The following is a 24214-nucleotide window of genomic DNA, read 5'->3' as shown; positions in this document are numbered from 1 at the left end:
GCGGCGGGGCAGAGGCGCTCCCCACATCTCAGACGATGGGCGGCCGGGCAGAGACGCTCCTCACTTCCTAGATGGGATGGCAGCCGGGAAGAGGCGCTCCTCACTTCCTAGATGGGATGGCGGCCGGGCAGAGACGCTCCTCACTTCCAGATGGGGCAGCCAGGCAGAGGGGCTCCTCACGTCCCAGACGATGGGCAGCCAGGCAGAGACGCTCCTCACTTCCCAGATGGGGTGGCGGCCGGGCAGAGGCTGCACTCTCAGCACTTTGGGAGGCCAAGGCAGGCGGCTGGGAGGTGGAGGTTGTAGCGAGCCGAGATCACGCCACTGCACTCCAGCCTGGGCACCATTGAGCACTGAGTGAACCAGACTCAGTCTGCAATCCCGGCACCTCAGGAGGCCGAGGCTGGCGGATCACTCACGGTTAGGAGCTGGAGACCAGCCCGGCCAACACAGCGAAACCCCGTCTCCACCAAAAAAATACGAAAACCAGTCAGGCGTGGCGGTGCGTGCCTGCAATCGCAGGCACTCAGCAGGCTAAGGCAGGAGAATCAGGCAGGGAGGTTGCAGTGAGCCGAGATGGCAGCAGTATAGTCCAGCTTCGGCTCGGCATCAGAGGGAGATCGTGGAAAGAGAGGGAGCGGGAGCGGGAGCGGGAGAGGGAGAGGGCTGTTTCCACATATTTATTGTTAGTATGTAGAAAACCTTTCTTAGTAAAAGAAAGAAATGTACTCTTCGGTGAAGTAAACTTGTTTAGTGGTTTCCCCTTCACCTGCTGGGCAGGTAACAATCTATTTATTCTAACATTCAAGTACCTCCACAATGTGCCTCTGTATCTCTTAAATTTAACCTCATACCTAATTGCTAAATACCGATTTCTACTGCTACTGGGTTTACTCTTCTGTCACTTGAATACACCTTACTCATTATTCATTCCACCTCCATGTCTTGGCTCATTGCCATTTGCCCTCTGGAATCTTCCCTCCACTGGCTTCTTCACTGCAAACTAAATCTGAACTGTCCTTCAAGGATAAGGTCAAAACTCTTTATAAGGTGCCTTCCCTGATAATCCCAGCCTACATTGCTCCTTTTCTCCCCTGATGTTTTTTTTTGTTTGTTTGTTTTTTTTTTTTTTTTTGAGATGGAGTCTCACTCTGTTGCCAGGCTGGAGTCTGGAGTGCAGTGGTGCGATCTCGGCTCATTGCAACCTCCACCTCCCGGGTTCAAGTGATTCTTCTGCCTCAGCCTCCTGAGTAGCTGGGACTACAGGCGCCCACCACCACGCCTGGCTAATTTTTGTATTTTTAGTAGAGACGGGGTTTCACCATGTTGGCCAGGATGGTCTCGATCTCTTGACCTCATGATCCACCCGCCTCGGGCCTCCCAAAGTGCTGGGATTATAGGCTTAAGCCACCACGCCCGGCCCCCTGACTCTTTTAACCAATATTGTACATCACTCAATCATTGATTTCGTTTTTAATGAGCTTTAATATACGTCTTGTTTCCAGAAATAGATGAAATACCCTGAGAGACTTCTATGATAGCTATGATGGCACCACATCATACATTACACAAACTTAATTGTGTAACTGAGGAAAGGGGAGAAACGTTTCAAGCCATGTCAGTTAAAGCAAGGTTACTGGAACTTTGGCATGCAAAGGGGATACCATTAATTCTCATGAATCTTTCCTCCAGGCAAGATCCATGCTCTGTACCACTAGTAAAAGGACTATCTTCTTCTTCCTTCCTAAAAATCCCAACACCTCCAACAAAGGTCTACAGTTAGATTTTTAGGGGTTTCCTGGTAGAGCACAAATAATCCCAAGGAAGCTGCAGTAACACCTCCTGGCCACCAGAGGACAGGGAGCAGTGGGAGAGATTTGCTTCCCCTAGCAAAGTCTTCAAGAGGCCAGAGGCACAGGCTCAAAGTTGCTTCTCCATCTGTGGCCTTCAGGCTTTACCTACTACTGCCAGAGGTGCTAGGGTGCCTCCCATCTTCAAATGGGCTTTTTTTTTCCCTCCTATAAAAGATGGGCCAGAAGTTCCCAGGGCCATACCCCGCAACACTAACCTTCAATGATTACCAATCATAAGGAATGCCTTTAGTTGCAGGACTTAAAGGCAGAAAAGTAGTAACAGGGGTGTATTATCTTTCGAACCCACCCAAACCTGCTTATCAGTTCTTTTGCTAGTGGAAAAACGTGCTTTAGGCAGGGTGCACATGGATATCCCACAGCAAACAGTGCCTTTAGGGTCTAGTGTCCCAATCCGGCACATTGTAAATGGAATATTTGAAGAGTTAGATTATTCCTACACATAAATTCTGGCTCATGGAGCAGTCCACTCGCAGGGTGCTTTTCCGTCATTAATCACATCTTTGTTATGTGATATCCACGTGAGTACTTCTCAGTAGAAGCAGCTTCATGCTCAAATGCTCAAAGAACATTGGAATAAAGCTCCGATTGTCCTATTCAGTGATTCCAAGTCCTGGTTTGTCACCACCTCAGGTCTCTCGTTTTCCAAAGTGCATAATGTCATCTCAAAACAGACATTTTAATGAATTCAAATAATAAAATGCACGAGGTATGTGGAGTTAAATCAACAAGGGTTTTGTACCTCTCAAGAGGCGGTTAACCCCTGGTCTTATTTAAAGATGTTTCTGCGCTGCCTCCTGTAGAAAACATTTTTAAAGAAAATGTAGGCTGCTTATCCTTGTATTTGTAAATATAAGCAAAGTAAAGTAATGTAGGAACATTTATGTGGGGGCTTTCAACCATAAACATATAGATAGCTGAATGCCTGACAACAGTAGTGTGATTTTTCTTGAAGTACCTGTAACTTCTCTCCTGAGAGATGGCAGAGCCTTGCCTTTTGCATTCGCCAGACTTTTTACAGAGCGAGTGTAATTCTCTCAAATCAGTGTTTGCGTTTTTTGACGTTGGTGAGGCAGCTGGAAACAGCTCAAGGAGGAGGGAAAGGTTCTGCGTCTGGGTGAGGGAGAAAACCCTCCGATACCTGTTGGGGCGCAGCACTGGAGGCGGACACCCCGGCCCGGGGGTCGGGGCCGCGAGCCCGGGGGTAGGGGGCGGGCGCGCGGGCGCGGGAGGAGGAGGAGGAGGAGGGAGAGGTGGGGGAGGAGGCCGCGGGGCCGCCTCCTCCGGCAGCTCCGGCTCCTCCCAGCGGCGCCCGCGGAACCTGCCTCAGAGTCGCCGGACTCTGGAAGGGAACATGACCTGACCCCTCCCCGAGCGGCCGGAACGAGGCGCGGAGCCGCGCTCCGGGCTCGGGCGGCCGCGGGATGGGCGAGCGCGCGGCCCCGCCCGGCGCCCACCGCCCTGCCCTCGCCTGTCTCCTCCTTTCCCCGGGGCTCCGCTGAGTTCATTCACTGGGATTGGTTTCAAGTGACGCCATCTCTTTATTTTTAAACCAATGACCTCATCCGCGCTTGAAGTTTCCTGACCAGCGACTCTTTCTCTTTCCCCCAACCCCCCACCCCACCCCCCCGCCTTTCCCCCTCTTTCTATGTATCAGTGTTTGGGGGGCTTTAATCAGTTTTTAAACGATTATTACCACCTCTCTCTCCCCCCCAACCCCCACTTTCACAACGCGGCCCCCCACCTTTACCTCCCTAAGTTCTTCATCTCTTTCGACATTTTTTTTGAAGGCTGATGGGGGGGAGGGTGGAAGAGAAAGAGTGAAGAAAAGTTGCGAGCGTCTCCTCTCTTCCTAAGCCTCCCGCCCCAACCCACCCCTCAGAGAAGGAGAAGATAATATACTGAAAAGAAGAGGAGGAGGAGAGCGACGGGACGGGACGCGAGCGGGAGCGCAGCCGCCCTCTCGGCTCCGCGGCGGCGCCTCGCAAGTCCGGGAGGCGAGGGGGGCCCGAGGGGAGACGCCGTGACAACTTTCGTTTCCCTCTGAGGGAATTGGGAGGTCGGCGGCCCCAAAAGTAAGTGGCCTTGGCGGGCCGCGCGGGGTGTGCGGGCGGGAGGGTGCGGGGCCCGGGGCGCCCTCCCGCCCGGCCGCATGGACGCTCCGCAGCGCGCCCCGACTCCCGGTGCCGGGCGCCGCGCTCCAGCCCCGCCGTCTCTGCCTTCCCGGGCGTACCGGCCACCCTTTCGGGAGGCGGCGTGGGGGCGACCGCGGCCGGGGGCCGCAGGAGCGTTTGAAGCGGGGGTGTAGGCCTGGCCGGAGGCTGGCCGGAGCGGGAAGGGGGCGTGCGGCCGGGCGCGGGGTCGCAGTGGGTGCGCTCCCGGCCGCTGCGCGGCGCTTGGACCGGGCCCCGCCGAGAGGAGCGGCCGCCGCGGGACGCGGCACCTTTGCGGGCGAAGCTGCTCACTTCCAGGCGCGACTGTTACACAACACGCCTGCCAAGTGGGGCCCTGGCCTGACTGTTCCCATTATCCCCAGTTCGCCTTTGGTGTAAGCAGCGAGGCCACCTGGGTGGTGACGGTGCTGCTTTCTTCAACCAACCAACCGAAAAAGCCCTCAATTTTCGGACAGGGGCTCGGGTCTTGGCGTTGGGGGGCCCGACGCCTAGTGACTTCTTTATTTACACTAGCTGCAAAACGTGAGAAATAAAAAAGCCCAGGGTCTGTGTATCACGTGTAGTTTCATGTAATGAAACACCACAGAGGGAAATATTTTCAGATGCTGGGTTTATTTCCTAAAGAATACCAATAATGAACCAGAGAAAAGGCAAGTAGATCTGAAAATGAATGGATACTGCAAAATCCTAAAGAAGTTTAGGAAACATCAACTGCAAGGATTCTTGGCGTTTTGAAGTCGTGGGTGTCTCAGATTGGAGAAAGCACACCTCTAACCAGCCTGTGATGAATAAGCTGGGGAGGAAAAAAACCTGTTGCATAATCTCATTTGCCGTGGGGTTTGCTGTGCCATCCCCTTGAACCAAAGGGAAGTGAGTTAAGATGCAGGGTTTTAAAACTCTCTGAAGTTTTTATTTACCCAGCGCTCTGGCTCCCACTTCTGTTTTAAAAGATTATAAGTAAATACTCTGCTCTTTCAAGTGAACCAAACCTATCAAACCTGTTTAGAAAATAAACCAGGTATGTTTCTTTCTCTTCTTTCTTTTCCGCCTCTGTGTGTGTGTGTGTGTGTGAAATTTACCATCCATGCAAAAGTTTAGGACTAGTGTTTGGGGAACTGAGACTGTCAGAAAAATGCCTCTTTATGCCACTCACCTTATGGGGCTGATGGAGAGTCCACGTAAAGGATAACCGTTTCCTCAAAGGATTTATGCTGTTTCACCTCCATCAAGAAAAGGGCTTTTTAAAGTTAAGGTAAAATTTTAAAAGAAAAGATTTCGTACCAATTGAATTAATTACTCTTTAATACCTACTTTTCCTTGAGTATCACATATATTGGTGGATACCACTTGGGAGGCTCGTGGAGTCTATTTGGTGAAGGCAGCAGCTTGGAGAAGTAAAATGAAAAGCAGAATGTATGGCTCTGTGTAGGGATTTTAGTAAAAATGTGAGTAGGCACGGTGAAAGGTTTTTGTTTTTTAAAATTGTGGAATTTACTGAGTTTGAAGACAATGTGGAAAGTTGCATTAAAATTTTTTTTAATTTGGCTAACATTTACAGTCTTATGTAAAAATATAGGCTAAATAACACCAGCCCAAGAGTTGGATTTTAGGTAAAATAATTTTTGCACTTATCAAAATTCTACATGGGGGAAAAATTAGAAATGAATTTATTTTGAATTTTGTTAGTGTGAATAGTGTTTTGAAAATAACTCGGTTCAAGTACTATAAATGTACATTCAGATAAAAAATGTAAACTGTGGTAATTAATTTTTTTTTTCTTTTTTAGTATTAACCTCTGCTATATCAGCAACTCAAAGTACAATATCTCATTTGGCTTGATTATAGTGCCAAATGATCATAGTGCATGATTATGGAGGGGGCTAGGAACAGAACTGCAGAATTATCCAGTTTTGCTCCTTTTTCAATTTAGAATGCCCTATCCTTTCGTTCAGTTTGGTGATTGTAAGTGTGTACCTATAAAATAAAAATAGACATGTAAAATTGGGGATTGGAGTCTTTGGGCCAAAAGCTTAATGGCAGTAACTGAGAAGGCAGTAAAAGAGGAGACACTGTTACCCCGGTTCTTTTCCTTTTTCCTACACGTTTAAAAATTATTTGTGGGACAGTTGAGAGTGGAAGTGAGGCTGAGATGGGAGGGGGGAAGAGTAGGTGTGAGAAGGTTGCAGAGTTTAGGTAGGGATCAGAATAAGAGGCAGGATTTATGTGTTAGTGTGTTTTGATGCTATTTTCTGTAAATCCCTGGACTGGGAATTTAATTTCATACAGTGTTTAGCATATGGGATTAATATATTGATGAAGCAGACTTATATAGCTGTCCAGTATTAAATTTTTTCAATTTTCAGCTAATCCTAAAAATCCTACTAAATATAATTTGCTAGAATTACCAGTGTAATAATTTATCCTAGAACTCCCAAGTTTTCCTAGACAAAAATAATTTTCTACTTCGTGTTACCTGAACTAAAAATTTCACTGGACATTCAGTGTTTTTAAAATGCATTAAGTTCTCAAGCAAAAGGTACTTTAATTTGAAGAAGTAAATTAATATAGGGTGAACTGATTTGGATCAGAATCCCAAGAAAATAAGGAGATAACTTAGAGGAAATAAAACAGATTTTATGACAGATTTCAACAGATGAAAGAAACTAGTTAAAAAGATTTCACAGGAAAAACCATAGTTGGTGCTTGATTGGCTTTAAAAGAAATTTACTGATCATTTAAAACGGAGATATTCACCATCATAAAAGAAAATCCGAATGTTGGCTTAAACAAAAACATAATTAGGAAAATAAGTCTTGCCCAAAGCTACATATGATAAATTCCAAAGCCAGATGTCAATTTTTTTTTTCTGATTTTCTTGTGTTGTAGACAATCTGTTATTTGTATGCATTTCATTATCCTTGATGATCAAGGGTTGGCTGTGTGAAGAGAGGTTCATAAAGGTTGGCCGAATTTAAAGAAGCAGGCTCAGGCTTTAAGAAGAGCTGGTTCTTCTACACAAATGGATTGAGACAGGGAGTTAGAATTTTAATCAAATAAATAACTGGAGGAAACAGTGGCTCAAAAGAAGGATGTAAGACAGATTACCTTGGACAGGTACAAAGAAATAATAAAAGCTTGCCAGGAGTATGATCAGTAAGGAAGGGAACAGAATACATCTTGCCATGAAAGGAAAGAGGAATAAGTGGAAAAATGCCCTCTGATACCTCAGCAACAAGAGAGAGGAATGAAACTTCACGCCCTTCTTGACTGGGGTTAGAAACATCATTATAGGTATTGCCACAAAGTCACAAGATTTTTTTATTACATTAAAAAATGTAGGCCAGGCGTGGTGGCTCATTCCTATAATCCCAGCACTTTAAGAGGCTAAGGCAGGAGGATCACTTGAGCTCAGGTGTTGAGAACAGCCCTGGCAACAAAGACCTTGTTTCCACAGAAAATCAAAAAATTAGCTAGGTATGGTAGTAGTACGCAGCTGTGGTGCCGGCTACTTTGGAGGCTGAAGTGGGAGGATCTCTTGAGCCTGGGAGGTCAAGGCTGCAGTGAGCTATGATGGCACTGCTGCGCTCCAGCTTGGGCAACAGAGCAAGACAGTGTATCAAAAAAAAAAAAACATATAATCTTGAGGGATAGTGATTGATAGGGTAAATTATGAGCATTACTTATATGAGAATGTAAAATTTAAAATTGTCAGAAATAAAAAGAGGGATTCGCTGTAATATCATGGCCTATTTTGAGTTATTTGAAAGGGAGGGATACATTATAAACTGAAATTATTAACTGAATTTCTGGATTAACTACTGATAGGAATCAAGCAAAACATTTGTTAGCAGTATGCTGTTTACATGTGCTGAGATGGATTCCAAAAGTTGGGGACACTGGCCCATGTTATGGAGAACAGGATTATAAGAATTTTAAGGGAGATACATACATATGCAAAGATAATTACCAGACAGCTGGCAAGTGCCAAATTCAGGTACAAAAGAGAAAGAGGGCTCAGGGAGGTAATCTTCATAGAGATAATAGAATTTGACCCTGGCCTTAAAGATTGGTTAACATGTGTATGGAGAGAGGGAAGTGGGGGAGGCGAAAGGCGGAAGGTATTCACCCATCTCATTCAGCAAATTTATGCTGATCCTCTACCAAGTGCTAGACCCTGGCCATACAGTGGAAAATAAGAGAAAGTTTTTGCCCTTACGTAACTTATATTCTAGTGGGAGAAGACAGGACAATAAACAAAGACAGTAAACAAGTAAACAGTACATTAAAAAAGTGATGTTAAATAGTGGTCGGTAGTAAAGGTAATGATCAGGGTCGATAAATTGCACTTATTCTGTGAATCACTTGCTTTGCCTATGATAGTCTAATGAACAGTCTTCATGTTATAACTTTTTAATATTCATGTGCAGTCCAAATGAATTTGAATAAAAATCTACACATTAACCAGTTTTTAAAAAAAGAAATGGGAATTAAAGAAAAAGAAACCTATGTGACTTTTTTTTAGGTCAAAGCATGGAAACTTAGATTTTTTTTTTTTTTTTTTTGAGACGGAGTCTTGCTCTGTCGCCAGGCTGGAGTGCAGTGGCGCCATCTCGGCTTTCTGCAGCCTCCGCCTCCCGGGTTCAAGCGATTCCCCTTCCTCAGCCTCCCGAGTAGCTGGGACTACAGGCGTGTGCCACCGCACCCAGCTAATTTTTTTTTGTATTTTAGTAGAGACGGGGTTTCACCACGTTGGCCAGGATGGTCTCGATCTCCTGACCTCGTGTTCCACCCGCCTTGGCCTCCCAAAGTGCTGGGATTACAGGTGTGAGCCACCACACCCGGCCAGAAACTTTAAATTTTTTTTTTAATGCCTTGTTAATGTATCCACAGTTCTTTTGCTGCCATTTGCTAAGAATCTCATGTTTTTTTACAATGAGATTAATGTCATTGTTTACTGTTCAGTTAGCTTTTTCACGTATTGGGCTATATTCTTAGGTTAGACTCTCTGTTAGGAACAATAATCACCATAGTGTCATAAAGTGAAGCTAAATTCCAAAGATTGTTTTGTATGGGAACATACAAAAGAAAAGATGTACAGACAATAAACTGTTAGGCTTAATTACCAATAGGTAAAATAGGGTAAGGGATGACACCTGTTCAACTCTTGTCCCTATGGCATATTGTTCCTGTATTACTACAAAAAGTAAAAACCTGAAGCAAAGATGTTCCAAAATGGGGAAGTCTTGATCTTTCCTGTAGTTATTGGACTGCCAGGTTTGTTTTGTTATTGTTTAGAAGATGTCCTTCATAGTGGTCAACTAAAAACTGATATTATCAGGAGCTATTTCATGTTTTGGGGCACATTTTGTTCTTCTGAAGCATTCTTTAAGAAATATGTGCCCTTCACTCTTTTTGCAGTTTTTAATTTTTTTTTTTTTAATTAAAGATGGGGTCTGTCTCTGTCACACAGGCTGAAGTGCAATAGAGCAATCATAGCTCACTGTAGTCTCAAACTCCTGGGCTCAAGCAGTCCTCCTGCCTCAGCCTCCCAAGTAGCTGAGACCACAGGTGGTGCATGCCACCACACCCGGCTAATTATTATTATTTATTTTTATTATTTTTATAGAGATGGGGGTCTCACTTTGTTGCCCAGGCTGGTCTTAAACTCCTGGCTTCAAGCAGTCTTCCTGCCTTAGTCTCCCAAAGTGCTAGGATTACAGGCACAAGCCACTGTGACCAGCAAAACTTTTTTATAGGTGAAATTGAGGTAAAGGATTTTAAAAAGTGTTGATATTAAGTGTGTCTATAGAACCAAATCCCTCAAGAATTATTCTGTATGCACCTAACCAATTTTCATCTACAAAATACTTGAGATAAACCTATGGGAAACAATTTTAATACAAGGTAGGAAATTCTTTAGTGCTCTCTTGATTTCCTCCTAAACTAAATGCTTAATTTATTTAATTTTTATTTTTTTGAGACATGGTCTTACTCTGTCGCCCAAGCTGGAGTGCAGTGGTGTCATCACAGCTCACTACATCCTTGACTTCCTCGGTTCAAGGGATTCTCCCACCTCAGCCTCCCAAATAGCTAGGACTATAGGCATGTGCAACTATACCTAGCTAATTTTTTATTTTGTGTAGAGACAGGGTCTTGCTATGTTGCCCAGCTAGTCTTGAACTCCTGGGCTCAATCAATCCTCCCACCTCGGCGTCCCAAAGCATTGGGATTACAGGTGTGAGCCACCATGCTTGGCCTTAATTTAGAAAAGAATTACAGCTATAAATGCTGTGGGTCTGTGGTATGTGTAATAAAAGTTAATCTGACTTGTACTCCTCAAAAATATTTGGGAAAGACAGAAGAATTCAGGTTTGTTTTAATGTCTATGTATGTTGGGGTGGGGCAAATTGCGTTTATAGAAAAAAGATGTAATGGTATGGCAAGATAATTAATATTTAATATATCCATTATTTCTCTTAAAATAAATGGGGAAAGATGTGTAGAGAAGTATATGCTACTTACAGTGTGCGTTGTACTAGTTTTTAAATACACAGTTTATATCCCAGGATAGTAGAGTAGGCTTTTGACAAATGTTTGTCAAATAATTTCAGTCAGTTCTTACACCTGTTGCTTTTTATAGCCGTTCCATTATATCTCTAGCTTAGAGCACTGTGTTTTGAGCTTTGAGTTGCAGTTTGCAAGGGGTTGACTTATAGTCTTGGGCATGGACTCTTATTTGAGCCATGTGCTCACTCTAGAACGGGGTCTCTGACCTCACCTCCAGCTTTGACCCTGTGGCTGACCTGACTTCTTCTTTTCCAAAATGATGGGTGGTTGTTTCCAGTCACCTTTTTCGGCTCACAGTGTAACAGCTCCTTCTCTTCCCGAGCAGCTGAGCTGTGTGCTCTTTGGATCACTTCTCAGAATACTAAGGTATATGTATTGCCATGCTGGCTTATTTTGTAGTGGGTTTATTTGTTGTTGTTGCTTGGTTTTTGTTGTTATTGTTTGGTTGGTGGAAAAGAAAATTCCTCGAGAAGATAGTTCTTGACTTGTTTTGTAAACTGTACATGGTATATGAAGCATAGTATTATTTCCTCTTCCTTCGTAGCTTTAGTTAAACATCTTGGGTTGACTTGAGAAAGAATTGGTAAGAATGATATTTTGATAATACCCACCAACCAAAAACTAACAAAGACTTTTTTTTTTTAATTGAGACAGTTGGGAAACTTGAAAATGGAATATATATTAGGTGATATTTAATAGTTACAACCATAATGTTTTCAGCTATAATAGTCATATTGTGGTTATGTTAAAATATTTTCATGTGTTAAAAATACATATGGATGTACTTACAGGCAGAATAAAATGATGCGAAATGTTCATTTTAAAAAACTTCAGGATGGGCACAAACACACAGAAGTGGGAAATGAATAAAAGAGTATTGATAAATTTTTGAAAATTGTTGAAGCTGAGTAATGGGTAAGTTGGAGTTTGTTATTTTTTTTACATTTGTGTATATTTGGAAATGTCCCTAATAATGATTTAAAATATATAACCAATTATAACTGTAGGGTAAGAAATTAAATGCAATAAAATTGTGTTGTTGGGTTGGGTATGAGGGTTCATTCTTATGATCCAGTACTTTGGGAGGCTGAGGTGGGAGGATCGCTTGAGGTCAGGAGTTTGAGACCAGCTTAGGTAGCATGGTGAGACTCTGTCTCTGCAAAATAAAATAAAGTAAAATTATATGCTTGGACATTTGAGCTAATTAGCTAATCAAAAGTCTGCACTTGGCTTTTTTTTTTTTTTTTTTTTTTTGAGACCCAGTTTCACTCTGTCACCCAGGTTGGAGTGCAGTGGCGCAGTCTCAGCTCACTGCAATCTCTGCCTCCTGGGTTCAAGCAATTCTCCTGCCTCAGCCTCCCAAGTAGCTGGGATTACAGGCGTGCACCACCACACCAGCTAATTTTTGTATTTTTAGTAGAGATGTGGTTTCACCAGGGTGGCCAGGCTGGTCTCAAACTCCTGACTTCAAGTGATCTGCTTGTCTTGGCCTCTCAAAGTGCTAGGATTATAGGTGTAATCCACTGCTCCTGGCCTGCACTTGACATTTTCTATAAGTTCTGTTTTTAGTAATAAAATTTTAAGAATAAGGAAAATTTCATAGACACATCGTAAGAGGCCAGGCATGGTGGCTCATGCCTGTAATCCCAGCACTTGGGGAGGTGGGCGGATCACTTGAGGTCAGGAGTAGACCAGCCTGGGCAACATGGTGAAACCTTGTCGCCACAAAAAATACAAAAAATTGGCTGGGTGTGATGGTGCACACCTGTAGTCCCAGCCACTCGTGGGGCTCAGGTAGGAGGATCACCTGAGCCTGGCAGGTCAAGGCTGCAGTAAGCCATGTTAGTGCCAGTGCACTCCAGCCTGGGCAACAGAGTGAGACCCTGTTTCAAAAACAAAGAAACAAAACATCATAAGAAGTGTTTAAAATGCTTAACTTTGAGATCTTGTAATAATAGTGTACCTTGTAGTTTATAAATTGCTTTTACATATTTTGTCTCTTTTATCCTTGGAAGACATGAGTTACCCATTTTACAGATGAGGAAACTAAGGCCTTAGAGAGATGAAGTAATTTATTGAAATCCTAAAGCAAGTAAGAAGTGGTGCTAGAATTGGAGCCAAGATCTTCTGATTCATATTCAGGTGTCCATTCTCTTGTATACATATACTTAAAAGTGCTATTTTTTTGTGGTACTATAAACTAATGGTTTTCAAACATTTTGGTCTCAGGACACATTTATACTCTTAAAAATTTCTGAGGACCCCAAAAATCTTTTGTTTATATAGACTATGTCTGTCCATACTTAACATTAGAAATTAAAACTGAAAAATGTTTAAAATATTTATTTATTTAAAAAATAACAAACATTAGGCCAGGCATGGTGGCTCATGCCTGTAATCCCAACACTTTGGGAGGCTGAGGTCAGTGGATCTCATGAAGTCAGGAGTTCGAGACCAGCTTGACCAACATGGTAAAACCCCGTCTCTACTAAAAATACAAAAATTAGCCAGGTGTGGTGGTGGGCGCCTGTAATCCCAGCTACTTGGGAGGCTGAGGCACGAGAATCGCTTGAACCCGGGAGGCAGAGGTTGCAGTGAGCCGAGATCCTGCCATTGCACTCCAGCCTGGGCGACAGAGCGAGACTGTGTCTCAAAAAAAAGAAGAAAAAACAAAGAGGGTTGATATAAATAATATGCTTTTATGAAAAAGGTATTCCAACACACACAAAAAAATCTGGTGAGAAACATGGCATTGTTTTACGTTTTGCCATTCTCTTTAGTATATTTCTTTATAGAAGATAGCTGGGTTTGCATAATTGCTCCTGTATTCAATCTGTTGTGATATGTTGTTTTGGTTGAAATACGTGAAGAAAACCTGGCTGCACACGGATACATAGTTGAAGAAGGGTGGGGTATTTTCATAGTCTTTTCATATAATTGTGAATATTTTTGTTACACCAAAATTCAACAATTGGTAAATGCTTTTTATTTATTTATTTATTTTTTTGAGATAGTCTCGCTCTGTCGCCCAGGCTGGAGTGCAGTGGTGTGATCTCAGCTCACTGCAACCTCTGCCTCCCGGGTTCAAGTGATTCTCCTGCCTCAGCCTCTCAAGTAACTGGGATTACAGGCACGCACCACCATGCCCAGCTAATTTTTATATTTTTAGTAGAGATGGGGTTTCAGCATATTGACCAGGCTGGTCTCAAACTCCCGACCCCAAGTGATCCGCTTGCCTCGGCCTCCCAAATTTCTGGGATTACAGGCGCAGCCACCGCTCCCAGCCAGATTCTTAAATATTAGTTGCACTGCTGAATCTGAAGCCATGTCAGTGAATTTTGTGTACTCTGTAACATTAAAATCCACTGGTCCATCTTGCACTTTGAATGGATCTTTGACCTGTGTGTGATTTTGTAACTGCATACATTGATCATTCAAAAAATAATGGTTTACTAAGCTGACTGGGCACAGTGGCTTACGCCTGTAATCCCAGCACTTTGGGAGGCCGAGGCAGGTGGATCACGAGGTCAGGAGATCAAGACCAGCCTGGCCAACATGGTGAAACCCCGTCTCTACTAAAAATAACAAAAATTAGCCAGGCATGGCAGTGCACGCCTGTAGTCCTAGCTACTCGGGAGGCTGAGACAGGAGAATTGCTTGAACCTGGGAGGTGGAGGTTTCAGTGAGCTGAGATCGTGCCACTGCACTCCAGCATGGGTAACAGAGCGATATTCCATCTCGGAAAAAAAAAAAAAAAAAGGTTTACTAAGTTCTGCACATCTTTGAAATGTTGGCACATTTGATTATACAATATTAAGCAAATCACAGTCATTAATATCACCATCAGTCTCATCCAAAAAATCTTTAAGAATTGGGAAGTGGTCAAGATCTTGGTGGCGAATTCAAGTTTTCCAAAATACCAGTTTTCTCTTGAAAGCTTAATTTATATCATTGGCAACAGATAGTGCCCATTTTTTTTTTTTTTTTTTTAATACAGTCTCCCTCTGTCGCCCAGGCTAGAGTACAGTGGTGTGATCTTGGCTCACTGCAACCTCTGCCTAGCTCAGATTACACGCACCACCACGCCTGGCTGATTTTTTTTGTATTTTTAGTAGAGATGGGGGTTTCGCCATGTTGGTTAGGCTGGTCTTGAACTCCTGGCCTCAAGTGATCTGCCTGCCTAGGCTTCCCGAGGTGCTGGGGTTACAGGTGTGAGCCACGGCCAGCAGCCCAATATTGCCGGTTTTTCTTAAAGTGACAGGTTCACTTTATTCATTTTAGAGAAAATGTCTGCCAGATACCAAAGTCTGAATAAGTGTAAATTGTCTGCTAGTCAAAAAAGCAAAAATGGTGTCCTATGAAAAAAAAAAATTGTATAAATGCTTTTCCCCAAGATAATCATTATACTTAGGTATGCAGCAGAAATGCTTTATGTGTGCTTCCTATTTCATCATACAGAATATGAAAAAGGCCAAGTTCTCAAGAGTTGACGTTTTAAAAATTAATACCTTTTATTATTTTATCAAGGATGTTGTTAAGTGAGACTGGCTTTTTTTTTTAATTATACTTTAAGTTTTGGGGTACATGTGCAGCACGTGCAGGTTTGTTACACAGGTATACACATGCCATGGTGGTTTGCTGCACCCATCAGCCCGTCATCTACATTAGGTATTTCTCCTAATGCTATCCCTCCTCTATCCTCCCAATCCCCAACAGACCCCAGCGTGTGATGTTTCCCTCCCAACAGACCCCAGCGTGTGATGTTCCCCTCCCAGTGTCCATGTGTTCTCATTGTTCAACTCTCACTTATGAGTGAGAACATGTGCTATTTGGTTTTCTGTTCCTGTGTTACTTTGCTGAGAATGATGGGTGAAACTGGGTTTTTAAAAAATGATAGGCAGTAAAGAATATACAAGTATATGTTTTCTTAGCTGTCAGAGTGATAGATACATCATCACCACATACCGTGCATCCTCGACCCACTGTTGTACACTCATGAGGGAATGAAAGTGAAAAAGACAGATAACATCTTCATATTATCAAAAATAGTTTTATAGATCCCTTGAAGGGGTTCCTTCCTCATCTCTGGATCACACTTTGAAAACTGCTGGTGTAAACTAGTACCATGTGCTGACATCTTTTTAGAGCAGTCTGATACACATTTTTTTTTTTTTTTTTGAGACGGAGTCTCACTCTGTCACCCAGGCTGGAGGGCAATGGCGCCGTCTTGGCTCACTGCAGCCTCCGCCTCCCGGGTTCAAGCGATTCTCCCACCTCAGCCTCCCAAGCAGCTGGGATTACAGGCACCCTCCATCATGCCTAGCTAATTTTTATATTTTTAGTAGAGACAGGGTTTCACCATGTTGGCCAGGCTGGTCTTCAACTCCTAACCTCAGGTGATCCACCTGCCTCAGCCTCCCAGAGTGCCACTGCGCCTGGTCTGATACACGCATCTAAATCAATAAAGTAACATGTCCATCTTAGTTGATGAATTTGTCAGGGAGAAGGGACTATGTTAGTGTGTAGGATGAGCCATGTGGCCAGATACTATTATGGGTGGAAGGTCATATAACATCAGAGCGTGTTGGATAAAGGGTAGACAGAAGGGAAGAGTCAGTGAGAGCACTTTATAACATAAAAAAGTGAAAATTTGCTCTCCCTATTTTTTTTTTTTAATAAAAAAGCACTGTGGCCACATATATACACACATATCTGTTCATACTTACTTATTGTATTCAAAATCCAGGGTACTGAGTTATTTTTTTTCTTGAATGACAGAATGGGAGAGATGGTAACATATGTGAGAGGAGAACGGACTGCTCTTGGCAGTCATTTGTTTCATCCAGGTGGGGAGACTGTTATTTTTTTCTTTTGGGAGAGCTAAGGGATGGCAGAAGATAAATGAAAGAAGAATGGTAAGAGTGAATGGAGTAGGCATTAGTGATTATGGAAATAGCTATAGGCAAAATGAGGCTGTGGACAGAGAGTGGAGCTAAGCATGGAGGGCACGGAGGAAGACTCCAGGATCAGCTGGGCTCCCCCATGTGCTGGGCCTGGAAGAATGGGACTAGGGAAGTGCGGGGGTGGGTGCAACAGGAGTCATGGAGATGCACATATAATTGAAGGATTTCCATCAAAACACGGTTAAAATAACTATACTAGATAGTCTGCCTTTTAGCAACTTACCAGTATTCCATTTCTGTTAGTAGGAATTGTGTATTCAGTTACACAGGGGAAAGCAGCAGTGCCACTTTTTCAGTCATCTTGATGACTGGGTTGTATCCCTAATAATGATGTCGATGGTAAAGAGGCTAAAGCTAAAATTAGGTTTTGGGTTTTGGGCAGTTACTCATATTTCATTGAAAATGAAAGACTAATTGTATTTTTATTTTAATAGAGAAAGATATACATATGTGTGTATTGTCTGTAATTAAAGTACACTCAGTACAGTGTTCTCATTTTTTTGCCCTAGGGGTTTTTCAGCTTGGGGTCTGTCACCCTAGTCTCTGCTTTTCATAGGCTGAGGGATAAAGTCATGATCATGATTAGAAGTGGAGGACAACCCACTTGAAATCCCCTCCTGATGATTTCCCCTTTTCTCCACGATTGCAGACCTGCCCTGCTTACTCTAAGAGCAGTATGTTAGCTGGCCGCTTCTGTAGGATGGTTTGGGAGAAGGAAGATAGTATCCTGGAGCAGTTCTTGACACCTTTAGATTATTAAAGGTTGGGAGGAACACAGCAAGAAAAAGGAAGAGATCTATTGCAAAATATTTCTTTTTTTTCTTTTTCTTTTTCTTTTTCTTTTTTTTTTTTTTTTTGAGACAGAGTCTCACTCTGTCACCAGGTTGGAGTGCAGTGGTGCGATCTCGGCTCACTGCAACCTCTGCCTCCTGGGTTCAAGTGATTCTCTTTCCTCAGCTTCCCGAGTAGCTGGGATTACAGGCACGTGCCACCAGGCCCAGCTAATTTTTGTATATTTAGTAGAGATGGGGTTTCACCGTGTTGGCCAGGCTTGTCTCAAACTCCTGACCTCAGGCCGCCTGCCTCGGCCTCCCAAAGTGCTGGGATTACAGGCATGAGCCACTGTGCCCAGCCAACACTTGTTGTTTTTAGCTGTCCTAATGGGTGTGACGTGATACCTCATTGTGGTTTTGATTCACATTTCTCTGGTGATTGGTGATGTTCAGCATCTTTTCAAATAGTTGGCCATTTATATATCATCTTGGGAGAAATGTTTATTCCAGTCCTTTGCCCATTTAAAAATTGGATTATTTGAGTTTTTTGTTGTTGAGTTGTAGGATGCCTTTTTCTTTAATGTGAATCAGCTACTTAGAACTCACAGATTAGATGTGATATAGTTCAGGGATACAAAAATGGAGTGAGTGGAGTACAGTAACTGTCATCTCTGCTTCTTCTGCTATTACTGGTACTGCTTAGTCAGGGTTTCATACTCCAAAGAGGATTTGGAGGGCTCGGGTTGATTCTCTTCTTCTTCCCTCTCCTCATTATATGTAAACCAGAGGGATGGACTAGGTGATATCTAAGGTTTTTCCAGCTCTAAAATTGTAAATTTTGCAAGCATTGCCTTTTACCAGCTAACCTCTTGTGTCTAAGATTTCCTTGGAATCTCAGTATTATCTAACTTCTACACTGAGAAATCTTTGTTGCCAGCCAATAGCTAGAAGGTAGCACTCCACCAAAGCTTTGTTGGATCTTTGATTTTCTAACTTTTGATCTTACTTATTTTCCTGCTTATAGCATGGTATCACCTCAGAATCCTGGGCTTAAATATTTGTTTTTTTAATGCTGCTGTACACAAGTCCTATGGTGGATATGGCCTGGAGTAGTAGAGCTTGTACTTACCCTGGAGATACACAGTAGTATGTTTTGCTTTTTTTTTTTTTTTTTTTTTTTTTTAAGCCTACTCACAGTCATAAGGAAGTAGAAGGTGAAAAGTTCATTGGACAATGTATTTTCTTTTTTTTTTTTTTGCTTTTTTTTGTTTGTTTGTTTTGTTTGTTTTGAGACCAAGTCTCGCTCTGTCGCCCAGGCTAGAGTGCAGTGGCGCTATCTCGGCTCACTGCAACCTCCACCCGGGTTCAAGCGATTCTCCTGCCTCAGCCTCCCAAGTAGCTGGGATTACAGGTGGGCACCACCACGCCCGGCTAATTTTTGTATTTTTGGTAGAGACGGGGTTTTGCCATGTTGGCCAGGCTGGTCTCAAACTCCTGACCTCAGGTGATCCACCTGCCTCGGCCTCCTAAGGTGCTGGGATTACAGGCATGAGCCACTGCACTGGCCTGTTATTGTTTTAAATACATAGAGCAAACAAAACACCAGTCCAAATTCAGTGAATTTTTATTTCTGTTAAGAACAGCTATATTTTCATGCCAGGTATAAAGAAGTATTTCTAAACTGATTTATTTGTTGTCCATGGCTCTCATATGGACAATGATATCATGATGTTAATTAAAGGTAAGAAATAATGTGATTGTGGTTGAGGCTTAAGGGTACTGCTAAGATAAAATTATTTTTAGGTTTCAAGCACTTGATGTTTTTAATTTTTTGTGTCTTATAGATAGTATCTGACAGATAGCCAGTCTTTAGGGAGCTTATTTTAGTTATGGAGTTATATATTATTGCCATATGGTGCCATGACTTAAAATGTTCTCATGCTGACAATACTATAGGAGGAATAAAGTAAACAAGCAAAATCCAGTAAACCAAATAGGAATGGGTAAGCAATATGTAGGGTGACTCAGAATGCATGAGATGTTGGTAGTGCTTACACTAGAACACAGCATGTCTATCTAGTGTTGTCTTTGTGCTTGACCATCTGTGACATCTATATTGCTTTCTGGCCTATTGCCAGGTCTTGATTGACCATTACCAGTCCCTTCTTACAAAATACTAAAAACACCTGGGTGTGTAAATAGCGGAGGTAATGGAAGGACTGAGGCAGCTTCAAAGAACTACATTGTGGAAAGTTGCCATAATGGTCAGAGCCACCCTTGTTCATTCATTCTTAACTTTGGTTATACAGTAACTCAAGGATTGAAATATATTTGGTAGCACTGACAGTTTCATTGCAAAATATTATCTAGGCCCTTTGGGGCTACTTATCACCATCCATCCCTCTGAGCATAGGCTGGACATTTAATTGTGAAAAAACACAACCACGAAACACAGGTAAAGTAAAAAAGATAAAACTAAACCATGGGTGATCATTAGTAGACCAGAATTCATTAACATAATCATTATCCAGAGGGTGCAGAATTTCCCCCCCAAATGATAGCATTTCATAAATTTATAATATTGTATAAATAACTCTCAGATGTTTTCATTATCCATTTATTTTGCATGGGAAATATAACTTATTTTTATAGTGTAATTTCATTTGGGTTTCTAAAAGTACATGATGTTACTGTTATTACATCAATATCATTTATAACAAGTTCTTTTCCATTCAGATATTCAGAATCCACATATTAAATATTAGATTGGTACATTATGGCTCTAGAACTGTGATTTGGTTACCATTTCTCTTACCGGCTTTGAATTTGGTGGGGAAAGATTTGCCAGGAAATGAGACTGAAGCTGTCATATAGTTTTGGCTAGATTGTAGTTTATAGGATATCGTTAGACTTTATTTATCCATGTACTCTCTTATCTGTTATTAGGGTAACTTAAGATTTGACCAGGATTTGTTTTTGAATTTTTTGGAGCGATGGAAACGTTCTGCATCTTGATTGTGGTGATGGTTACATTACAGTGTACATTTGGTCAAAACTCATAGAACTGTACACCAAAAAGCATTAATTTTACTTTATGTAAGTTAAAAAATAATGCTTTAAAAATAAATGTAGTGGCCAGGCGTGTTGGCTCATGCCTGTAATCCCAGCACTTTGGGAGGCTGAGGCGGGCGGATCACCTGAGGTCAGGAGTTTGAGACTAGCCTGGTAAACATGGTGAAACCTTGTCTTTACGGAAAAAAAAAAAAAAAAAAGTACACAAATTAGCTGGGCTTGGTGGTGCACACCTGTAGCCCCAGCTACTCAGGAGGCTGAGGCATCAAGCTGAGAATCGCTTGAACCTGGGAGGCAGAGGTTTTCAGTGAGCTGAGATCATGCCACTGCACTCCAGCCTGGGTGACAGAGCGAGAATCCATCTCAAAGTAAACATAAATTTAGTAAGATTACTGGATGTGAGGTTATTATACAAAACCTATATTTCTATATAACAGTAATCAGAAAATGAAATGTTTAGATGCTGTTTATAATAGCATCAAAAAATATCAAATGCTGGTAATAAATCTAAGAAAGATACCTGAAACTTTTACAGAAGTTTATATAAGTTGATTCTAAAATTCATATGGCAGTGCAAATGGCAAGAATAGTCAAGGTAATATTAAGGAAGAACAAAGTTGTAGGATTCACACTATTGAATATACAGTGTGGAATAAATGAATGGATAATGGAACAGAATAGAGCCCTGAATCAGACCCATATATGTAGATACTAATTTATGATTAAAATGGCACTTTACAGCAATGTGGAAAGAAAGATCTTTCGATAAATGATCCTACGTCAATTGCCTATCTGTATGAAAAGAAAAAGAAAACTAATTTTGGTCCTTGCTTGCCATCACTTACAAAAATAAATTATAGGCTAATTGTAGATCTCAATGCGAAAGGTTAAAAAAAACTAAAGCTTCTAGCAGTGTTCAGCCATATTCGTCATCAAAAAATGCTGAATGAAACCACAGTGAATTACCACTACACACTGATCAGAGTAGCTAAAATTGAGAAACAAACAAAAACTTGAAAATACCAGTATCAGCATGGGTGTAGAGCAACTAGAACCCTCATGTATGGATTCTGGAATTGTAAATTGGAATAACTGTGGAAAACTGGTTGTATCTATTATACTAAAGTGTTACATACTTATGCGTTTAACCTAGCAAACCCACTCCTAGGTGTATACCCAACAGAAATGTGTACTTATGCTCACCAAAAGACATGTACAAGAATGTTCATAGCAGCACAATTCATAATAACTCCAAGCTGGAAACAACCCACATGTCCATCAGTGGAAGAATAGATAAATACATTGTTGTATATTCAATGAGATACTAGGTAGAAGTGAACATGAAAAAACTCTTGCTACTTACAACAACATAGATATGAACATAATTTTGTACAAAACAGTTCAGACACAAAAGAGCTCAAAAACAGGCAAAACTCAGCCATGGTATAAGAAGTCAGGTTCGTGGTTACCTTTGGGGAGAGAGATTAGTAGTAGGAAGACATATGAAGCCAACTTCTGGAGTACAGGTGGGTTTCTATTTCTTGATCAGGATGGTGATTACATGAGTGTGTTAACCTTATAAAAATTCTTTGAGCTGTACATTCATGATTTGTGTATGCTTATTGGCATATATGTTATACTTGAGTTTTTACGAAATTTATTTTTAAATGCTTTGAGTTAACCACAGGAGTAAGTGGCATACAAGATTGTATTAGTTTCCTTTTTCATTAGTAAAGCTTGTATTATCAATGCTGTAAGGGAGAAAATTATTTGTATTACAAATACAAATAACTGGCCTCATAAATAAATAGAACAGGCTTAGCTTCTTTCTTAACCAAATCCAAACATTCCTAGGCTTCTTGAGTTTTTTATTGGTTTTGTTTCTAGGGATAAACCAATTCTTTTTTTCTCTTCACAAAAGAATATATTTCTGGAAGTCATTCTATATCAGATAGACATCTTTCTTTTTACATGTCCATATGGTATACTACATTGATATAATAATATATTTAGCCAATTTATCACTCATTAACTTTGAAGTTGTTTCTTTTTACAGTTATAAACATGTTACAGGGAAAAGTATTTCACATAATATACTTGGGCAGGTATTTATATAAGACAAATTATTGGAAGTAGAATTTCTAGATCTCAGATTATGTGTATTCTATTTACTTTTTTATCTTTTTGTTTGAAAATAATTTTAAATTTACAGAAAAAAATAAAAGAACAGCATCTACTATTACCAGTTTGCCCCCTTTGCTTTATTACTTGCTCTCTCTTCATATTTATATATGATACATTTTTCTGAACCATAAGTTGTACACATGGCCCACTATCCTCAAGCACATCAGCAGGTCTCCGAAGAACAAGGACAGTTTCCTACCCACAGTACAGTTGTCAACCCCAGTAAACCTGACATTGATTTAATACTTCTAACTAGCCCACACGTGTATTTCAGTCCTGTAAGTTGACACAACGACATTCTTCATAGCATTGTACTGTCTAGTACAGTCTTAGTTTGCTTGGGTTGCTATAACAACCTTAGACTGGGTAGCTTATAAATAACAAATTGACTTCTTATAGTTCTGAAGGCTAAAAGTCTGAGATCAGAGTGCCAGCATGATCTGGTTCTGGTGAGGGCCCTCTTCTGGGTTGCAGAGTACCAATTTCTCATCGTATACCCAAGAAAGAGAGCTCTCTGGGGGTCCTTTTTATATAGCATGAATCCCATTCATGAGGGCTCCACCTCATGACCTAATTACCCTCTAAAGGCCCCAGTTTCAGATACTATCACAATGGACTTAGGGTTTTAATTTAAGAATTTAGTGGGGACACAAATATTTGGTCTTGCATACAGGGTCCAATTGAGGATCGTGTTCTACATTTACTTGTGTCTTTAGTTTCTTTACATCTGGAGTCATGCCTTGGCCTGCCTGCCCTTTTTAAAAATGACAGTTTATTGAGATACAATTAATATACCACCAAATTTACCATTTAAAAAAAGTTGAGATATAATTTCAGTCGTAAAATTCGTCTTTGAAGGTGTGCAATGCAGTGGTTTTTGGTATATTCACAGTTGTGTAGTAATCACTACTATCTAATTCTAGGACATTTTCATCACCCCCAAAACAAACTCTGCACATTAGGTCATACACCATTTCCCACTCCTCCCAGCCCCTGGCAACTGCTGATTTACTTCCTGTCCCTATGCATTTGCCCTTTCTGGGTATTTCTTTTTTTTTTTTTTTTTTTTTCTCTTTTCTTTTTTTGAGATGAAGTTTCGCTCTTGTTGCCCAGGCTGGAGTGCAATGGCGTGATCTCGGCTCACCACAACCTCCACCTCCCAGGTTCAAGGGATTCTCCTGCCTCAGCCTCCTGAGTAGCTGGGATTACAGGCATGTGCCACCACGCCCGGGTAATTTTGTATTTGTAGTAGAGACGGGATTTCTCCATGGTCAGGCTAGTACCTAACTCCCAACCTGAGGTGATCCGCCCACCTCGGCCTCTGAAAGTGCTGGGATTACAGGTGTGAGCCACGGCACCCAGCCTTTCTGGGTATTTCATATAAATGGATTCATATAATATGTGGTCTTTGGTATCTAGTTTCTTTCCCTTAGCATAACGTTTTTGGGGTTCTCCCATATTGTAGCTGGTATCAGTATTAATTCCTTTTCATGGCTAAATAATATTCCATAGTAGGGATATACTGCATTTTGTTTATCTATTCATCAGTTGATTAATTTTTTTGGCTGTTTATAAATCTGCTGTGAACATTTTTATACAAGTTTTTGTGG

The 24214-nt window shown here is 41.6% G+C and overlaps 1 protein-coding gene across 6 annotated transcripts in view, besides 6 other annotated features; it reads left to right on the top strand.

Annotated features, from left to right (window-relative positions):
- Nucleotides 2891-3400: a silencer, noted in NCBI's record as "silent region_4258". NCBI's record gives its function as "represses an Ori minimal core promoter by ATAC-STARR-seq in GM12878 lymphoblastoid cells {active_cell/tissue: GM12878}" and the evidence as "EXISTENCE:reporter gene assay evidence [ECO:0000049][PMID:35858748]".
- The window catches only part of DUSP16 (dual specificity phosphatase 16), an 89582-nt gene continuing 68567 nt past the window's right edge, over nt 3200-24214 (top strand). Inside the window, exons 1-3 of one of the 6 annotated variants that reach the window (XM_047429570.1) lie at nt 3200-3946; nt 11404-11527; nt 12628-12754. The gene's annotated coding sequence lies outside the window, so the exon portion shown is untranslated. Of the gene's footprint in view, nt 3947-4947; nt 5064-11403; nt 11528-12627; nt 12755-24214 lie in introns of those variants that run through there. The other 5 variants (XM_047429569.1, XM_047429568.1, XM_011520856.2 and 2 more) reach the window with 5 other exon arrangements.
- Nucleotides 3851-3930: a silencer, noted in NCBI's record as "silent region_4257". NCBI's record gives its function as "represses an Ori minimal core promoter by ATAC-STARR-seq in GM12878 lymphoblastoid cells {active_cell/tissue: GM12878}" and the evidence as "EXISTENCE:reporter gene assay evidence [ECO:0000049][PMID:35858748]".
- Nucleotides 3961-4080: a silencer, noted in NCBI's record as "silent region_4256". NCBI's record gives its function as "represses an Ori minimal core promoter by ATAC-STARR-seq in GM12878 lymphoblastoid cells {active_cell/tissue: GM12878}" and the evidence as "EXISTENCE:reporter gene assay evidence [ECO:0000049][PMID:35858748]".
- Nucleotides 4101-4300: a silencer, noted in NCBI's record as "silent region_4255". NCBI's record gives its function as "represses an Ori minimal core promoter by ATAC-STARR-seq in GM12878 lymphoblastoid cells {active_cell/tissue: GM12878}" and the evidence as "EXISTENCE:reporter gene assay evidence [ECO:0000049][PMID:35858748]".
- Nucleotides 5211-5270: an enhancer, noted in NCBI's record as "active region_6013". NCBI's record gives its function as "activates an Ori minimal core promoter by ATAC-STARR-seq in GM12878 lymphoblastoid cells {active_cell/tissue: GM12878}" and the evidence as "EXISTENCE:reporter gene assay evidence [ECO:0000049][PMID:35858748]".
- Nucleotides 14566-14685: an enhancer, noted in NCBI's record as "active region_6012". NCBI's record gives its function as "activates an Ori minimal core promoter by ATAC-STARR-seq in GM12878 lymphoblastoid cells {active_cell/tissue: GM12878}" and the evidence as "EXISTENCE:reporter gene assay evidence [ECO:0000049][PMID:35858748]".

This window comes from Homo sapiens, chromosome 12, assembly GCF_000001405.40.
Source record: "Homo sapiens chromosome 12, GRCh38.p14 Primary Assembly".
NCBI lineage: Eukaryota > Metazoa > Chordata > Mammalia > Primates > Hominidae > Homo > Homo sapiens.
This window is presented reverse-complemented; position numbering and strand designations above follow the sequence as displayed.